The 18,771-nt window shown below is 34.6% G+C and overlaps 1 protein-coding gene and 1 long non-coding RNA gene across 5 annotated transcripts in view, besides 1 other annotated feature; one reads left to right on the forward strand and one right to left on the reverse strand.

The window, feature by feature from the left end:
* The window catches only part of USH2A (usherin), an 800,558-nt gene that overhangs the window by 555,198 nt on the left and 226,589 nt on the right, over nucleotides 1-18,771 (reverse strand). For both annotated transcript variants that reach the window (NM_206933.4, NM_007123.6), the window contains exons 19-20: nucleotides 18,465-18,634; nucleotides 12,135-12,279 (exon numbers count right to left, since the gene is read on the reverse strand). In NM_206933.4, the coding sequence (NP_996816.3) occupies nucleotides 12,135-12,279; nucleotides 18,465-18,634 (315 nt within the window). The remainder of the gene's footprint in view (nucleotides 1-12,134; nucleotides 12,280-18,464; nucleotides 18,635-18,771) is intronic.
* Nucleotides 4,826-5,479: an enhancer, noted in NCBI's record as "OCT4-NANOG hESC enhancer chr1:216356256-216356909 (GRCh37/hg19 assembly coordinates)". NCBI's record gives its function as "activates a minimal SCP1, AML or CMV promoter by ChIP-STARR-seq in naive H9 embryonic stem cells {active_cell/tissue: H9 hESC(naive)}" and the evidence as "EXISTENCE:reporter gene assay evidence [ECO:0000049][PMID:30033119]".
* The window catches only part of USH2A-AS1 (USH2A antisense RNA 1), a 44,314-nt gene continuing 41,176 nt past the window's right edge, over nucleotides 15,634-18,771 (forward strand). For 2 of the 3 annotated variants that reach the window (XR_922596.4, XR_922595.4), the window contains exons 1-2: nucleotides 15,634-16,141; nucleotides 17,655-17,837. This is a non-coding gene — a long non-coding RNA (USH2A antisense RNA 1). The other variant, XR_922598.1, reaches the window with a different exon arrangement.

The following is an 18,771-nucleotide window of genomic DNA, read 5'->3' on the forward strand; positions in this document are numbered from 1 at the left end:
TATTTGTTACTTTTTAGACCTTCGGCCAGCTTTTCAAAAAGAAACAATTCATTTTGGTTCTATTTTAACTTTTAGTAAAAAAGAAAAGGCACTGAGCAAAAAGTTCATCAAGTTAGAAGGATAATTAACAATTCTGGTTATTTTCTGCCACTGCAGCCCATGTGATATTTTATTTTTATATATGTATGAATCTGTGAATTATATGCATAATTTCTCTTAGCATTTTTTTCTGCTAAAAATCAGTTAAATGGTAGGTTCTCAAAGATTTCATTCTACAAGTTATGATCTCACTTCAAAATAATCCAAAACAAAATAAAAGGCTAAGCCATTCAGAAATTTCTTCACCCAGAGTCTCTCTTCAGAGTTTAGAGTTACATATTTGTATTAAGATTTTAGCAGGCCATTCTTGGCTATAATCTCAACTAGGAAAGGAAAGCTGCCAAAGATTTTTTAGTCCTGGGCTCAGGGAAGCAATGGAGAACCAATTACATAATGTTTAAATTGAAATTTGCTAGATTCCCTAGGGTTTTGGGACACAGAAACCTGAACTTTTTAGTTTCATAAACTACTAACCTAGTAATATCCAATAGCCAAAAACTACTTTACCAGTACTGTCCAATAGAACTTTCTCCAATGAAGGAAATGTTCTAGGACTGTAATGTTTAATACGGTAACCACTAGCCTTATAATAAGACTATTGAGCACTTGAAATGTAGCTAGTGAGAATGAGAAACTGAATGTCAAATTTCTTAATTTTAATTAACTGTATTTTGAATTTAAATAGCCACATATGATTCATGACTACCATACTGGACACCAAAGATGTAGACAGAGCATCACAAATTATACATATTTGGTGTGTTGAGGATAGGATTTCCATTTTAACTAAATGTTGAGAAGAAGTATGAATATGCCTCCTATGCTTCTTAAAAGCTGAAGAATTTCATTGCTGTTTGAAAGCAGCCTTTCTCCAGGTCCCATTTGTTTGAAAGTTGATACATCTCTACTTTACTCCAACCACTCAACTCAATGGAGATAATGTTGAAGCTCAGCACCACCACAGAAATCAAATTCCTTCCCCCATCAGTAGCATAATCCAAAAATTACGTCTTAAACAGGAATATAGATTAAGAGTAATAGGAAACAAAACTAAACAAAAGGAATTCTGGCAACTCTGTCGTTTTTGTGTAATAATTATTGAAAATTAGAGCACACTTTTTTTTTAATTTGGCAAAGTGATTCTAATCAATAGGGAAATTCTTGAGAGTCCATTAAAGTTAATGTTTACCATTTAAACTTTAAGTAGTAGAGCACTTCTTGATTCCCAGAGGAATTATTCCATCTAGCAATGGGACTGTCCTTTAGAAGTCAATTCCTGAGAATGAATAGAACTAGAGTACATTTTTTATTCTCTTGCTTAAAAGAAAAACAAAACAAAAAACATTCCAGTAGGTGTGTTTTACAGTTTCACATGGAGGAGTCAACTAAGCCTGTTTGAAAGGGTGAACATCCTACTGAGTTATTCTTTTCAGAGTTCTTCTAAGGCTGGAAGGGGGAATTAAGTGAAATTGTCAATCAATTAAACTAGACTGGTCTCACATACACACAAGTAGAATAAGAAGAAAAATAGATACTTCTGAACCATTAAACACACACACATACATGCACATAGAATCACCAAGAGATTGGGGTAATGATGAATTATTCGTCAGATTTTCAAGGAAAAGGAACTATAGGTAAAAGTAGATATGACTTTTAAAGATTTGTTAATTTACAAAACAGTTCGTTAAGAGACAACACTGAATAATGAAAGGGATTTGGTAGACTTTTAAAAATTATATTTCACTTTTTAATGTCTAAATCTGTGTGATCTTAGAAAAATCCCTTTATATCTGCTCCCACTTTCCCATCTGCAACATGAGGATACATTTTCAGTGACATACATTGACAACAATTGCTTCTACAACAATATACATATTTGCTTTATGTTTTAGAAAACAAGTTTCTATACAAATATAAGGTGCTATCATTACAAGAACAAATCTTTCAAATTATGTATGATTAAGGAATACAATTCATCTATATTCAAAATCTATCTGTATTTACCCAGAAAATTCTTGTAAATGTAAAGTTTAAAACGAATCTTCAATATTCATTATTTCTAAGGATAATATACAAAGTTTAAAATGAATGTTCATTATCCATCATTTCTAAGAATAAAATGTCTATTTGAATAAAAGTACAAAATTCTTGTACTTTTAAAATAGCACTTGTATTTTTTAATAGGGGTAATCTAATTTCTTGTCTATCTATTCGATGTATAGATATTTTTATAAAATGTTATAATATGCATTCTTTATGCAGCATTTATTACTTTATAACATAATTAGTAGTATATCCAAATGAATACATTTAGACTTGCAAAATTTATGTAGTGTAGCATTTTGAGCACCATAGGATAAGAACTAAAAGCTGAACAAAGCTCTTCTGAGGTACTGGTCTTTAAAATGGAATCTGTTCATTTGTTTTTAAGGAATCTGTTCATTTTTTGCCTATGAAGACTGTATGGCTGTGTCAATATCTTAAAGCATCATCAGCTTTCTATGATGATGACAAGAATTTAAGAATAAACAATTTTTCTATGTTTCAGGGGTGGGTGGGGAGCAGACTACATAAGACATTCTTAATAAGCACCCTGTCAATAGAATATGATTTTGACTTTTTCGCAGAAATGCAAAACTATGCCAGGAAATACAATTTGCCAAACACTGCTAGGCCAGAACACTTGCAAAAGGGCACTGGACCAGGACGCAAACAAGAAGTCCAGGTCATGAGCCCTGATTTCTCTGTTGCAGAGAGACTGCTGCAGAATCAGCTGCTCACCAATCAGTGTCTTAAAGAGGAAAAGTTTTCCCCCGAAACTCTCAGGGGTGACTCAGCATCATCTTGTTGACTGTCTATTATCTGACCAGGGAAGAAAGAATAAAATATATTTTGCCACTTTCTTCTTTGTTGACAAGTCACCTTCAGGAGAGGATATTACTAGAAGATCTGGAAAGGAGAAAATGTAGGCTCTAGATTGGCTCTTTAAGACCCTGATTATGGAACATTGGTTAATCCATTATTAGGTCTCTCTATTCTTCGGTTACTTCAATTGTTAGAGTGACAGGCTTGATTATGTCTAGGACCTCTTCCAGTTTCAAAATTCTTTGGTTGAATAATTTAAAACAGTACTTCTAAGTTCATAAGCCACGAATGGGTACCAGACATCCTGATCCCCTTTGCTCCTGGGAAGCCAGCAGGAGCCCCTCTGGTTTATCCCCTTCAGCTCTCAGCCACCTTGTTCCTTTACCTTAGCATGGCATACAAATATGATTTGTCTATGTGTTCTGTGACATAAAGAAAACCCTGCTTTTAGAGAAGTTCAGTGAACATGGTGAACAAACACTACCTTAACCAGTTATTGTTCTGGCGATCACAATAATTTGCACAAAACTACCATCCTACACATGAAGAGAGAAGAGGATCCATTATTTCTAAACTGCACATATAGCAGCAATGATGACAGCAACCACCATTCCCTAAAGTCCACCACTAATAAAAGGTAGTTGCTCAGACTGTAATTATGGCATCCTTGCTACCCAAACTTGAAGCTTTTATGGGGCTTATGCAATTAACTACTTAAATGCATCGTAACACTTGCTTCTCTGACAGCAAAGTATCGATTTCTTCATCATTTTCAAGTCTCCTGCAGCACAAATAAATGTACTACAGTTACAGTTAATGCACTGTGTACATGCATTAAATGCTGGTGTGACACAATTTATTATTTTGTGATATATAGAATAGAAGTCTGGCTTCTCAGAAAGTAGCGTCACTGATCTAACATCAGTATGGAAACTACCATTGTCCTTGATCCTCCAAATTCTCTAACTTCCAAAAGCTAAAGACCTATTTTAATAGGATACTTAGGCTTTAAATTAAAAGGAGGGGGCACTGAATGTAAATTTTTTATATATGTCCATGTGGGAGAAAATTTAAAATAGTCTAACAGAGAAGAAAGATACAGTTTGTATTTTCCTAAAGATGTCACTGTGGGACCTATAGCAACTTTGTTCAGATGATTTTTTGCCTATTTAATTTCTTTCCTTGCAGTTTTTTAGGGCGTATCTGTCAAAATATTTTGCATAGTAGAGTCTCTCTGATTCAGTCAATTTTTACATAGCTTGGTTGTGTTGTTTTAATGACTTATAGGATACATAGTATATTATGAAGCTATAATTGTGTATTGAAAGTGTGATTTCTACATGCCATTTTCATATGCCAAAAAGGCCAGTAGAGCCCCTGATAAAGTCGCATATCTAAATATAGACCTGGCCACAGAGGTCATCACATAGTTCAAAATCAAGCCTTTTCCTTGGATACAACTACACACTACAAATTAAAGTTGGTGAGTAAAAAGCAGTTAATTTTGTTTTGTTAGAAATAATATCATTTTAGTTTTAGCATCTAAGACAGATGCCAGCATTTCACTCTGAACAGATGGTAATTCCATCTAATAGTGCATCTCTGTATTAGTAAGGTCTGTTGTGTATACAAACAGTAATAAACACTAGGTAAGGATCAAAATAAATTTTAATTGTTGACATTAAATTCTGGCAGCCACAGTTCTAAGGCTGCAATATTCCTTTTTCAAGTCTGTCAGATTTACTAATGCAGCAAAAGCTTTTCCAAAAGCTGCCAGATCCCAGTTCCAATAAAAACATGTTTGCACACTACCAGTTACCAGTCTTCAACCAGGGTACCTGTTTGCAGATACTGAAATAATTCTTCAAGAATGACTTGGAATTGGTGCTACCATCTATGTGATGACCAGCCAGTGCTTCTTTTCACATGCCCCTGTAGGACTGAGCATTTAATTAAGAAGTTAGTATAAAATGTTACATCCAATTGTTACCTTAGGGGTCATGGTATTATTTATCACAGCCACTTTCTTACCCTGCTAAGCAGGGATCTCTCATCCAACTCATTTTCTTCAATTTACAAAGCTGGGCATTCCTGAACTTCTCTGAAAGTGACATCATCCTTTCATTTGTTTGTTTTGCCCCAGCCTGAAGGATTTCCCTGACAATCACAGCAATCATCAGCTGCGCTTTTCTATAGGCTTGCTGTGGATCGAGTGTGCCAACAAGCACCGATTTGGTTCTTATAATGCCTCCAGCGATCTGGTATTACAAGGAGTAGCCCCTATTTATTTTGAGAAGCTGCCATGTTAAAGAAAAAAAAAAGCATTTAAAAAAAGCAGTTTGGCATTCAGAAGACTGTTCAATAACATGCTTTGCAATCATATTTCTTTAAAAAATGGATTCTTTTTTTTAATCATGAAAAATGTATTGCTTCCACCATATGGGACAACCTACGACTCACCAACCGATTTAAGATGCGGCATATTGAGCTGACCATATGTTACAGTGCTGTTGAATGGCTGAGTGATTCATGCCCGTCACATTCTAGTATATCAATTAAAGCTCCTTGAAGTCTGCATGATTTGTGTCTCTGTTATTAAACCCTGCTAATTCATCCCATTTACACATCTGTTATAAATCTCTAGGAGTGCTGCATGATTCATGGCAATCTGCGAGCATGCTACAGCAAATTCTTCTCCTTGTAATTAACAGTAAATTGTTTTACTGCCATGCAATGAATTTTTCAGTTATATTGCAAATGAACTCCTAAATGTGCGGTTCTTTCCTAAGAACTGACTTATATCATTAGGCAATTAAAAAGTATTGCTTTGAACCGAAAGCTTTTAATCAAGAGAAATATAACTTAAACATTGCTTAAGAGCCATGGAAATTTGACATGTTGGTTACAAGTGTAAAATAATTTCTGTTGAAAGAGCAAAACAAACAAACAAAAAACCTTCAGTGTACTCAGGATTTCACTGATGCTAAGACACACCAACTGCTGCCTGAAAACAATTGGTGGGACAAGTTTTGCACAGATACTGTTTATCTTAGAAGTTACTTAAGTCATCTGTCATTACCAAATTTCTCAGACTACTTTACACTTCCTTAATTGTAAAATGGTGCCTTTATTCTTGAAATAAATAATTGGATAATTAGCCAAGTTGAATCATCAGAGGATTCCAATGCTGTTCAAGTGTTCTTGTCAAAGGTGAAGCAAATTCATTTCAGCTCGCCTCTGCAGCTCTTCGAAGAGGCTTTGATTTTTTTTCCCCACTTTCTTGGCAGCAGCCTCAGATTCATGAGTCCATACATCAAGTCAGTAGTTTAACAACAAATGGAATTAAATTCAAAGAAGGGAAACTAATTGAAGGACAGCAACAAAAGTGTTTGGTAATGTGCTTTTTAATATGGCATGCCACATTTGCATGATAATTTTTCCTTTTTAGCATGGAGCAGAAAGTGACTAGCTTAATGAGGGATTATTGAAGACAGGAATGAACAAAATGCATTCATAACTAAGAACAAAGATTGTATTATGAAACAAAAACAGGCAACCTCAGAGAAGTAACTGGGTGATTGGTTTATGCATTATGAATAAAAAGGTAGAAAAATATTTATATTAGTATTCACTAATGACTATATATACAAGATTGTTGTAATTAAAATTATAAATTAACATATTAAGAGTGCTTGTTTAATCACTCTGGCTCCTATTCACAAGGAAAAGACTTATGTACCCGAATGCAAAACAATGTGTGTTTTCAACCCAGCAGCAAACAGCCTATACATTTTACTTTGCATTCAGAAAGAAAATTTAATGCACACCAATTACTTGTTTTATGCGAGATGGGCACTTCTAAGCTTGTAGTATGGAGGTCAATTTATGACAGGCAAGGGAAATATCACATTGTCCCTTCAGGAATGGATCTCCAAAAGTAATTTCTCATAAGAAGGGTTTAAACTAAACTCAATTTGCAATGGGTGGAAATGCACAAATTTCTCGGATTAAAAGGAGAATCTTAAAGAAAAGTGTAACAAGGATTTTAAGAGGGCCCAGTTCATCAACTCATTACCTTCATACACCCAGAAGCAACTCCAAAGCCATTAATAACACTGCTTGAAGATTTTGCAATGGAGAGAGATGCAGCTGCTCCTGAGAGAACACCTCTCTCAAATCAGTTCTCAGACTTTGTCACAGGCATTGAAACTAAAGAAGCAGCAGTGCAATACTCTGGATGAAATGTACCCATTCTAATCATATATTTAATTGAAAAAATGTTTAAAACAAGAGAGAGCCAATTATAATTCTCAAGCTTTTTAATGAAACAGCAAGATAAATCTTCACAAGTATCTTTCTGATTTTTGAGACCGAGATTTAAGGGGGCAACATATCTTTTCATGATTCAAATGCTTCCAAAAGGCTAATTACTACTTCTAATTTGTGGTGCTCTTTTTCAAAATTTTTGAATGGTCACTCGTTTCCATTGATGTCTGATAATGAGCTCATATGAGCTATTAGACATAAGAGTTAAATTTCCCACAAATCCATTGGAGTTCATTGGAATAATATATACTCTCCAAATTGCAATGTTAATAGTAGAAAAAACAGAGCAGGATGAACAGTAAAGTTGCAAGTCAACTTTTATTACTCTCCTATAGCAAAATTGTTGACCATTCTAAAGAACTGGCTTTATTATAGGTCTGCAGTGTATTTCTATGATTTAATGTCTATACTTTCTATTCAGATGTTTTGTTTTGGAAAAACATTTAGAAATACACATTCATCTACTGAATAAGGAAGGAGGCAAAAAGAATGATGGATTTATAATTTTTTCCTGGTATTCAAATAAAAGCAAATAAGTTTATTTTCACTGATCTGAACAACCCTAAAAATGATGTATTTTATAATAAACCCAACTGTAAGTAAAAATTATTTTTCCATACTTTTGTCATATAAGAGACTTTCTTTTTCTGCTGGGCAGGTGAAGAATCAGATAGTTCTAACAAAATATATTAAGGAATTAGAAAATAAACATTTTTTCCAGAAAAAAACAAACACTAAAATAAATTTTTCTTTAGAAAAGAAAGGATTTTATATGGAAACAAAAGGTAATACAATTTTTTGAAGAATGAAAATTGGGTAGAAGAAAAATTTTAGCAAAGAATAAAAAAAAAAAAACACATTTGAAATTTACCACTATATCTCCTCCTGCCGCTGCTCAATCCTTCATGTTCCAGCTTCTGCTTCAACCATGCTAATTAGGGTAATCCCCAGAGAGTCACCAGTGACCTCGCATCCATTTTAGGTCACATTTCTCTTGCTTTCCCTATACCATATGACACTGCAGACAATATTCTCCTTCTAGAATTCTCTCTTCCCTTGACTTTTCTGATACTGCTTCCTCTCAGTTCTTTTCCTAATTCTGACCATACCTCTGTTCACTTCACTCTTCCTTTCTTCTTTCTTCCCAGATAGAATATTCACTAAGGTGTTTTCTTTGGGCTTCCATTTTGCATTTTCTCTGCTTTCACTAATTGATTATAACCTATAGCATTAGCTCCCATCTATATGCAGATGAATACAAAATCTGCATCATTTTTAAGCCCCAGATTTGCAATTTCTGCTCCTGGATGGTTATAATTGGCATGGATGTGTTTCTATCAAATGATCAAATAAACTCACGAGTTTATTTCTCCCATCTGTTCTTTGTTCATCTTTCCCCTTTTATTTAATGGCACCACCATGGGCTGCAATATTTGCTATCATTGTCCATCCTTCCCACTGCTTAACTTCCAGGTCTGTCTTCCTTGAAGTCACTCCATTCCCTTCTTTCAATCTTCACTTCTACTCGTCTGATTTACTCTCTTATTGCCTTTTTAAAAAAGTCTACCAGACACTTATTACACTCCCTCTTCTAATCTATTGTGTACTCTACCACCAGGGAAGTCTTCATAAATCTCTGCTTTCATTACATCAGTACTTGGAACAGTGCCAGCCCCTAAAACAGAAACTAGCACATTGTATGTGCTCAGTAAATATCTGCGAAAGTCTTTACCATTCTTTTATAGTTTATCTGAAATAGCATTTAATGAGGTATCTACTCAGTCTCCCAAATCAAAATCATTTATCTCATTTTCTACCTTCCCATAGCATTTTTTTCACCTTTCTCACAGCCCTTAGCACATGTCGCCATGGTGTTAATCCTACCTGTTGGATCTCAACTCCTTAACCCAAATGCTGAGTATAATTATCTTAGAATCCTCCACAGTGCTTTAAATAGTAAGCCCTCAAGAGATGGTTCTGAATTGAGCATTCACAATAAAATGTAGTAATAATACATTTATGGCACATTATTAACTCTATATTGCAACCAACAAATGTGAAATTTGCTGTTTTTGAGCAAAGTTTTGAAATGTGCATAATAATTCTGAATGACATACTTCTTACAGAAATAATAAATAATGCTTTCAGATTTTAAGCCTTTCTAAGTTTTATTTTCACAATACAATCCTTAGTTTTAGAACTCTCCATTTTATATTTTATAATAATGTTAGAAAATCAAAGTTGTAAAATAAACTCTCCTTGATTTTGATAACATTAGAAATTCCATAACATTTATACTGTGACTAACAAAAGTCTTCTATAATATTATGATAAAAATCATGACAATAAATTTTTATTGAGAATGAACTGTGATGGGCACTGCTTTAAATATTTTACATGTATTAACTAATTCTAATCCTCATCAGAACCCTACAAATAAGTTATGCTTATTTATAAATTGGAAAACTAAGGCACAGAGGTTAGATAATTTATATAAGGTCACACAGCTAGTCAATGGCAGAGCCCGGATTGAAACCCTGGCATTTTGGCTAACCATTTTTTTCCCCTCACATATATGAATAAACTCTTATTTTTGTAAGTCAACTAACTTTCACGTCACATGACTTTTAGCGAATATAAGTTTCCAGTTCTATTTTTCAAGGATAAAAAAAATAGAGAGAGGATTCAGAGGGCTCTGACTAGTTAGTTTTACTTCACAATCCTGCCAGTGGACAGGAGTCGTTTTAATCGCCTCACCAGTAACTAAAATGAGAGCTGCACAGAGCACCCAGGTACATCATCTTTTACGCAACAGGATTTTGCCACTGCAACCAATGAGGATACTATTAGCACAGATGTTACCACTAATGCATAGGGCAGGCAGATTCTATTCTGTAGACATGTTTCCTGCTCTTCTATTCCCATCTCCATGATCCAGCTAGTTTCTAGGGACGGGCATGTCTCTCTTCAGGTTCTTTAGTTTGCTTATATCTATGAAAAGGCAGACTAGATCTCATCTACAAGAATTATACTAATAACAGCTCTAGACACTATTGCATATGAGGTTCAGATGGGAACCACCATGATATGCAGCCTAAAGGAGAAAAGACTTGGGTGGATATAATGTTATTGAAAATGTTATTGGAAGGATGATAAATTAGGTTAACGACAGCCCCCAAGGAAGTAGAATAAGAATGTTGAGTAGAAGTTACTAGGAGATATTTTTGACCAATCTAAGAAATCACATTCTAAAAGAGGTATCTAAAGATGGTATAGCTTTGTCTGAGACGTAGTAGTTTCTGTAACACTGAAGGTATCAGACATGGGTTAGATGAACACTTGGGGGAATATTACAAAGAATATATTGATACTGGCTATATAGTAACACTAGATTATTTTTACATGTTTTGCAACCCTGAGAGGATGTGATTCCAGTTTTGCATGGCCACGTGCTTGGGATCCCTATGTCCCCTACTATAACACACCCAGTCTTCACCCTCCGTTGTCTCCATTTTTACTTTCTCCAACTTGTAAGACTGATTCTTATTTTAATTTTTGTCTTCTAGTCTGAAATTGTATCATTTAAAGGAGATAGAGTCCTCCTCTGCTGTCCATATTCAGCATTCAGTAAACCTTTAATAATACAGTATACAAAAACAGATAGTTTTATAGGAGAAGAGTGTTTTGTACAAGCTAGGTACTCCATCAATGTATTCATGCATCTGAAATGCACATCTATAAAATACATAAAAATACAAAGTGTTCAGTTATAAATTTAGTAAACCATAATTTCTTAGAATTTCAGAGTTGTTTGCATTAATGAAAATTTTGAAAAAAATAAATTACTTGGATGAGATCATTTGAGCTAAGCAATTTTTTCCAGAACCAGAAAAAAAACCCTACATAATTGGACCTATTAATAATAGGATGAAGGGATTTGGGGAGGAGGTCTAGGAAATGTTTTTACAGGTAAACATGAATTTTCGTAATATCTGTAATTCATCTAGAGTGTCTTAACCTCCTTACACATGGACATTTCTTTAAAGATAACCAGGAAACTAAGCTTTTATCTAGAATCAGAAAAACACTGATTTGAAAATATATTAATGCTAAATAATTGGGTTTTATAAGTCTTACTAATACATGTAATCAGGTTTGTATGAATCCAGTTAGTCCTGAATGAAGCAAGCACAAATTATACAAACCATTTCTACTCAGATTATACTTAATAACAATTCTTTTATTTAAATTTTATTAACTTAAAAGCTTCTTCTTAATAAAACAATAGATAAACATTTACCTATTTCATGAAAGCCAAATATAACACCAGGCCACACAGTAATTTCTAGATGTTCCCATGGATCAGGAGTGAGTAGAGCCAAGCCTACAAAAAATGTCTGGACTGAGGGAAGAGGTATCCTAACGTCCTCATAAGAAGCTTCCTGATTGTTTCTCACAATTGTCAGGACACTGCTAGGACACAGGTTGGTAGTTAAGCCCTGGAGTCACGCTACAACTAATTACATTTCTATGTATTTCTAGTTCTATATATTTGTATATGTTTCTAGTTGTATATTCTATATATTTCTAGTTGTAGAGTGGAGTCACTCTACCACTAATTATATTTCTTATTATGACACAGCTGTAACTCGTAGCTCCTAGGTACCTCTTTAAGTTACGTTTTGGTTGTTGTTGTTTAAAACTGTTGAGGTAAGAAGCAATCAGAGTTAGTGAGGGAGGAGAAGACAAATATAAAGTCTCAAGTAGAGAAGGTGTTGAATATTATAAGTTTTTTTTCTTGATAGGCAACAGATTTTTCATATCCATTAAAACTTGCTTACCTGCTGCTAAAGTTTGTCCTGCTCCCGAAGCACTGGTCACACAACCAACTGAATTGCAGAGAGTAATAGTAAACTCATATATCCTATAAGGTTTCAGTCCTTCTACAGTGTAAGATAGTTCTTGGGATTTAGCAGTGTGCAACAGCTTCAAGGCAAAAAAGAAAGAAAGAAAGAAAGAAAGATAATAGGTAATCAGTGTGAAAATATAACCTTGGCAGTCAAAGTTCCATGAATTCAGACAGAGGGAATTATTGCCAACCACCATTAGGAAAAGGGTTTTTTTTTTTTTTTCTGAAGAGTCTCGACAAGCCAGGATTTAATTGATTATTGTACAATCACACTGTTTTATGAGGTAATAATCCAGTTCCTGAGTGGATAAATGAGAAAACCAAGTTATTGCCTCATAAAGCAGCATGGTGGTATGGTTATTGTCACCAATGGTAGAGATAAAGACGGTGACATTGTCATTGTTATCATGATAAAGTCCAAACAAAGCCATGGGGCTTGGCCAAAAGTAACCCAGAGCAGTAATACCCAAGCTATTTGATGGTGCTAGGACAGAAAGAAATGCCGTTGCTATGTTAAATCGATACTATCATTTTCTTTATGAAAAAAAGTCACAGAAGAAAAAGGGGAAAAAATTAAACATTAAGCATATTACTGAGCATCCACGTTAAGTCAATTCTCAATCATCTTTCTTATATAAACAAACATATAAAGATTAGATCAAACAGTTACGTTATTTGAAATATTATCTTTATCATATAATTTCAAATGAAAATAGCAGATTTGAGCAAAGAAGACTGACAGGAAACTCACAGTCCATAAATAAATTATTAAACAATTAACATTGAGAGTTGGTTCTGTCATTATAATTTGAAGTGATCAAAAGCAACCATGTAAATTTGTTTAGGTTGTAGGTACAAAGGCCACTAGAAATTATATTCAGAAAATAAAAGTCATTAAAACAGAGAGTATGACAGTAACTATGAGTACAAAACTAATTTTCTTAGGGCTACTGATACATAGTCATATAAAATAATCTTCCATAAATATAAATACAGATAAATGTAAAGTTCAGTAACATTTGGAGTAGTTTTCTAGAGACTTTCTCTTTAGGGGTAAAATAAAATTCATTTGGAATATTTGCCTAGGTGTTGACTTTAAAATTTCGTAAGTTACATGAGTTGTTCTAAAAAGCAGTGAGATTGGAATGTAGAATACAGTGTTTCAATAACATTCAGAAATAAAGGTGTTTTTAAAGATTCTAAAACTCTAGGAATAATTTAAATTTAAAACTTTAAAACCATTTCCTTGCAATTACATTTTGAAATAAGAAAAACATCAAATACCAAGTAATTCTTTATTTTTCTAATTTTAAAATCATTATTGATATAATGAAGATACAAACTTTTCTGTGAAATGTGATTTAAAATTTTCTAAGTAAAATAAACCTTGAACTGAGTTAAACTTATGAATATTGCTGTAATATTCATCCCTTTTAGAATAATCCTGGTAGATTTCAATGTAAATTTTTAGAAAATGGTATTGTTTTTAGGATAAAGTACATGAAGCTATTTCTTATTTAATTTAGGAAGTACAACTATTTTTTAAGCAAAATATTCTTTGTAGCAAGAACCCACGATGAAATAAAATAAGAAAGAAGAAATCTACACTAATATTTATTTTGAAAAGGCTTTTCCTTCTTTACAGATGATTATTATAAATTACATTATTTTAAAAATACATTATTGGCCCCAGAACTTGCAGCATAAAATTATCACTTGGATAGACTTTGTCTTTATCATGTACATAGAGTCAATTTATAAGTCTTATAAAATCTATCTAATTGAAAGTTTTTCATGAAATAAGTCTTCAAAGGGGTAGGAAAAATTCTACAGCAGCTTGATCCCCCACAATGAATCCTACATCATCACCACTTTTACGTATCCCCCCTGTCTCATTCTTAGGCAAAGGTTTCTTACTAGTTATTTTTATAGTAGATTTTCCCTGGGAATTTTGGCTATTTATTTACAAAGATTATAACAAGACATACTCAGGTCAGTTCAGATACAAATTTAATCATTGAGAAGGTAAAAAATTGGACTTTGTTCTGCTACTTTTGATTTCATTTCCTTGAACAGAGAATATTTGCACAGGAGAGAGAGTTCAAAAGAGAATAAGGTAGGCCCAGTGCAGTGGCTCATGCCTGTAATCCCAGTATTTTGGGAGACCGAGGCGGGTGGATCACTTGAGGCTAGGGGTTCAAGACCAACCTGGCAAAGATGGCAAAACCCTGTCTCTACTAAAAATAAAAATTAAAAAAAAAATTAGTCAGGTGTAGTGGCACACACCTGTAGTCCCAGCTACTTGGAAGGCTGAAGCACAAGAATTGCTTGAACCCAGGAAGAGAAGATTGCAGTGAACTGAGATTGCGCCACTGCACTCAAGCCTGGGTGACAGAGCGAGACTCTGTCTCAAAGAAATAAAAATAAAAAAGAGAATAAGGTGATATATCTATGTCCTTATTCCAGTTCAGCCATAAGGAACAGCCTTTTAAATAACAACAACAATAATAAAAATATTTATTTTCCTGCCCCATTAAATGATAGCTAGTTTATAAAGTATAATGTAGTTCCACACCATTAATAATAATCACTAATAATAATGTGTCAATATTTATCAGGCTCTTTAAGCAGGTAGGTGAGCAAAAATGGTTTTCCCATTTCACAGATGAATAAAACCAGAAGCAGAGAGACGTGTGATACAGCTAATAATTGGGAGATGTGGAATATGAACAAACAGGTTGACTTCTAAGGCTGTATTTTATAAATAATATTTCTCACCTTATTTTTTTCTTAGAACAACAACTACTATAATATAAGTAATAGATAAATCAAAACTGTGTTTTACAAAGAAAGAATAGTTTATAAAGCCAGAGAATAGTAAAAACAACAAAATAAAACATTGAGTATAAATGAGATACAACATGGCAAAGACCACATGAAAGTTACAACTAACTTTACCTTAAATCCCATGGTATACCAGATCGGTAGACTAACCTGTTTAAGTCAAAATATATATATTATGCCAGTTGTGTATTCATCATGAGATAATTGCAAATGAGTGAACACGTAGACAGATTAATGAAAAATAAGTAATCATAAATTATTTATTGGCTCTTCTTTTTCATCAGTATAGAAAATAAAATTGTGTGTTGTACATGGGTTCTGGTCTCCTAAAAAGGCTTAGAAAAAAATGGCAAACCTATTAGTAGTGGATTGTATAGTGTCTCCCAAAAATTCAGAATAAGACCTTGTTTGGAAATAAGGTCTTTGCAGATGTAATTAATTAGTTGTCATCCTGGATTTCAGGTTAGCTTAAAATCCAATGACTGGTATTTTTATGGGAGAAATGAGACGGACACACAGACCCAGAGGAGACAGAGACACAGAGTAGGACTTGTGAAGACAGAGGCAGCAGATATTAGAGTTATGTTGCCACAAGCCAAGGAACACCAGGAGCCACAGGTAGGTAGAAGAGAAGAATTGTCTCCTAGAGCCTGTGGGGGACCTGGCTGTACTAACACCTAAATTTCCGTTGTTTTAAGACACTCAGTTTATGTTAATTTGTTACACCAGCCCGAGGACACAAATACTCTAGGGTACAAAGGTCTGACTTCCTAGCTTAATTTGAGATAAGCTAAGAGGGTCATTTCAGCTCCAGAACTACCCACGGAATCCGCTGAGGCTGCTTCCACTATTGCATCACAGTTCAGCTTCTTTGCTGCTCAATCCTACATACTTTATCACTTCACATTTGTTGTTTCTGAAAGAGTTCCCCCAATAAACCTCCTGTACTCAGTCCTCTACCAAGAGTCTGCTTCCGGGGGAATTTGCCCTAAGATAGTCGTAACAGGACTGGCCCTAGGAAGGAGACTCTAAAATGATATTTTGGAGCTCCATCATCCACTTGCTGGTTTACAATGATCTCATCATAGACAGCAGGTAGAGTACTAACAGTCCACAGCATGCCCTAGTGGTGCAATGCTTAAACTTCCATTAGTGGTGAACTGCGATGAGTTACCAGTAGAAGGTAATTCACTGGTTTGGTGGAATTAGTAATTACAAGGACTACTCTGGGGAAACTAGTAATTATAAGGACAATGCATGGATCTTGCTGGTCGCCATCAATGCACTGAAGAAAGACAAAGGAAATCTGAGGGTGATTAATCACCAATTTAAGACAAACTATAAATGCCACCTTGACAGTATTCTTTATATCGATAGCATCATATTAAATGAATCAGACAAACAAGAAATGGTAGGTATGCAGAGGTAAGACATATGTGTTCTAGAAAGTGAGACAGCAATATTATGAAGATTAAGGAATCTACCATATCAGTGAAGTTTTTAGGAGTTCAAGTGGCCTGAGACATGCTAGGATATCCCCTCCAAAATAAAGGACAAATTATTGCACCTTGCTTCTACCACCACTAAGAAGGAAACAAAATGTCTAGTTGACCTCTTCACATTCTGAAGGGAGCATATTCCACATTTGAGAATACTGTTCTGAGAAATTTACTGAGTAATATGGAATGCTGCCAGTTTTGAGTGTATCCCAGAGGCGGAAAGGGCTCTGCACCAGGTCCAGCCTGTGGTACAGGCAGATGAGCCACTTGGGACATAACATGTAGTAATTTTTACAGCACTAGAGGTAAGCATTGTGGGAAAAAATGTTGCAAGGCACACATAGAAAGAGAATCACAGGGCAGATAGACCCCAAGAGCTTGGAACAAAGGCATAACATGTAATGGAAACTATATACCATTTGCTAAATGGCCCTAGCATGCTTTCAGGCTTCAGTAAAAACAGAACATCTGGTCATGGAACACCAAATAGCCATGCAGCTAGAGCTACTTTTTTATAATCTTGGAATTGTCTCAGCCAAGTCTTGAGGTTAGAAGGGCCCAACAGAAATTCATCATAAAATGGAAGTGGATGTCTGAGATTGGGTATAAGCAGAGCCAAAAGCCGTAATACATTGTGCAAGCAGGTGGTTCAGGCCCCCATGACATCCACCATTCTTATACTGGTGGCTCAACCTCAGCTCATACCTATGACCCATGGGAGGTCCCTTAAGAGCTGAAAGAATGTGGAAAAAAAGCAGAATTTAGTTTACAGATAGGATGTCTTGGTATGTGGCTGCAAGTCTAAATGGTAGCTGTTGCTCTAAAACCCTTGTCAGAGATGACCCTGTGAAACAGCAGAGCGAAGAAATCCTCTTAGTGGGCAGAACTTCAGGCAGTTCACCTGGTCACCCATGTTGTGTGGAAAGAGACGTGTCTCAAGGTAAAATGTACCTGGACAATATGGCAGTGGCTTGGAAATATTGGCCAAGGGCATGAAAAAAAAAGATGGAAGGATCAGGAACTAGGAATTCATGGAAAGAAAAATGTGGCTAGATCTATGGGAGTAGGTATAAAGTGTAAAGATCTTTTTATCTTATGCTAATGCCCAGAGAAGAGCATCTCTCTCAGAGGAGGCACTGAACAGCCAAATACACAGAAGAACTTGTTCGGTTGACATCCTTCCATCAGCTTCTGCTATTGGCCACCTGGATGCTGGTAAAATGGGCAGAGAGGTATATCAGCCACAACTGTAAACTGGAGAGAACAAGAGCCTCCTATCCTCTAGGATTGCTGTATGTATCAGATGAATTAGTTCACGTACACAGTAAAGCCTCAGTAACTTTTAGCTATGATAATTATTCTCACTACTGCTAGCTGGGGGATGAATTACTAGAAGGCAATATATGACTGTATATTCAAAACTTTGAACATATTCATAATTCATTTTGTTATAAGCTGTGATAAATTCAATTCTTCAGATTTTTGAAGTAGAAATGTATATGAAATGTACATATAAGAAGTTTTATCAATGTTATTTATATTTCCAAAAGAATTAATACAATACAATATCAACTGAGTGTGGACTGGTTAAATAATTATTGTGTGTCCAAATAACATGATAGTACACAGTTAATGAAAGTCAACTTCATGTAAAATATTTAAGGATACATGATAAATGGAAAAAAAACAAGTCTTATGAAATAAATTATACCAACTTAGTTTCAATATATGATTATACTGGAAAAATACAAGTGACATACAAAGAGGGAGGCTTGTACACATAATATTATATTAAGAAAAAATGCCCTGTTTAATCAATATAGAGGGAGAATTCTGTCACAGAATTCTGCAAACTCAAAAAATGTCCAAATGAAGCCCTAAGCCAATTCTGAAAGGACATTAGTTAAAAATAACAATACCTGTGAAAACGCCATGGGAATAGACTGTTGAGGTGATTGTTCAGAAAGCATATTGATGTCATACCCCACAACTTTTCCTCTTGTAACATTATCTGCTGGCTTCTCCCAGGAGATATTGAGAGAGTACGAAGAGAGGGGAAAGACTGAAGGAGGGATCATGAATACAGGTGCTATCAATGAGAACAATAACAATAACATCAAAACAATGAATGTCGTCCCTATATATTTTTAAATTTAATTCACACATTCATTTAGTTTCTGAAATACCTTTACCTTTTAAAATATTCTGCTTTGAAAAAGTCCAAGA

Source organism: Homo sapiens, chromosome 1 (genome assembly GCF_000001405.40).
Source record: "Homo sapiens chromosome 1, GRCh38.p14 Primary Assembly".
NCBI lineage: Eukaryota > Metazoa > Chordata > Mammalia > Primates > Hominidae > Homo > Homo sapiens.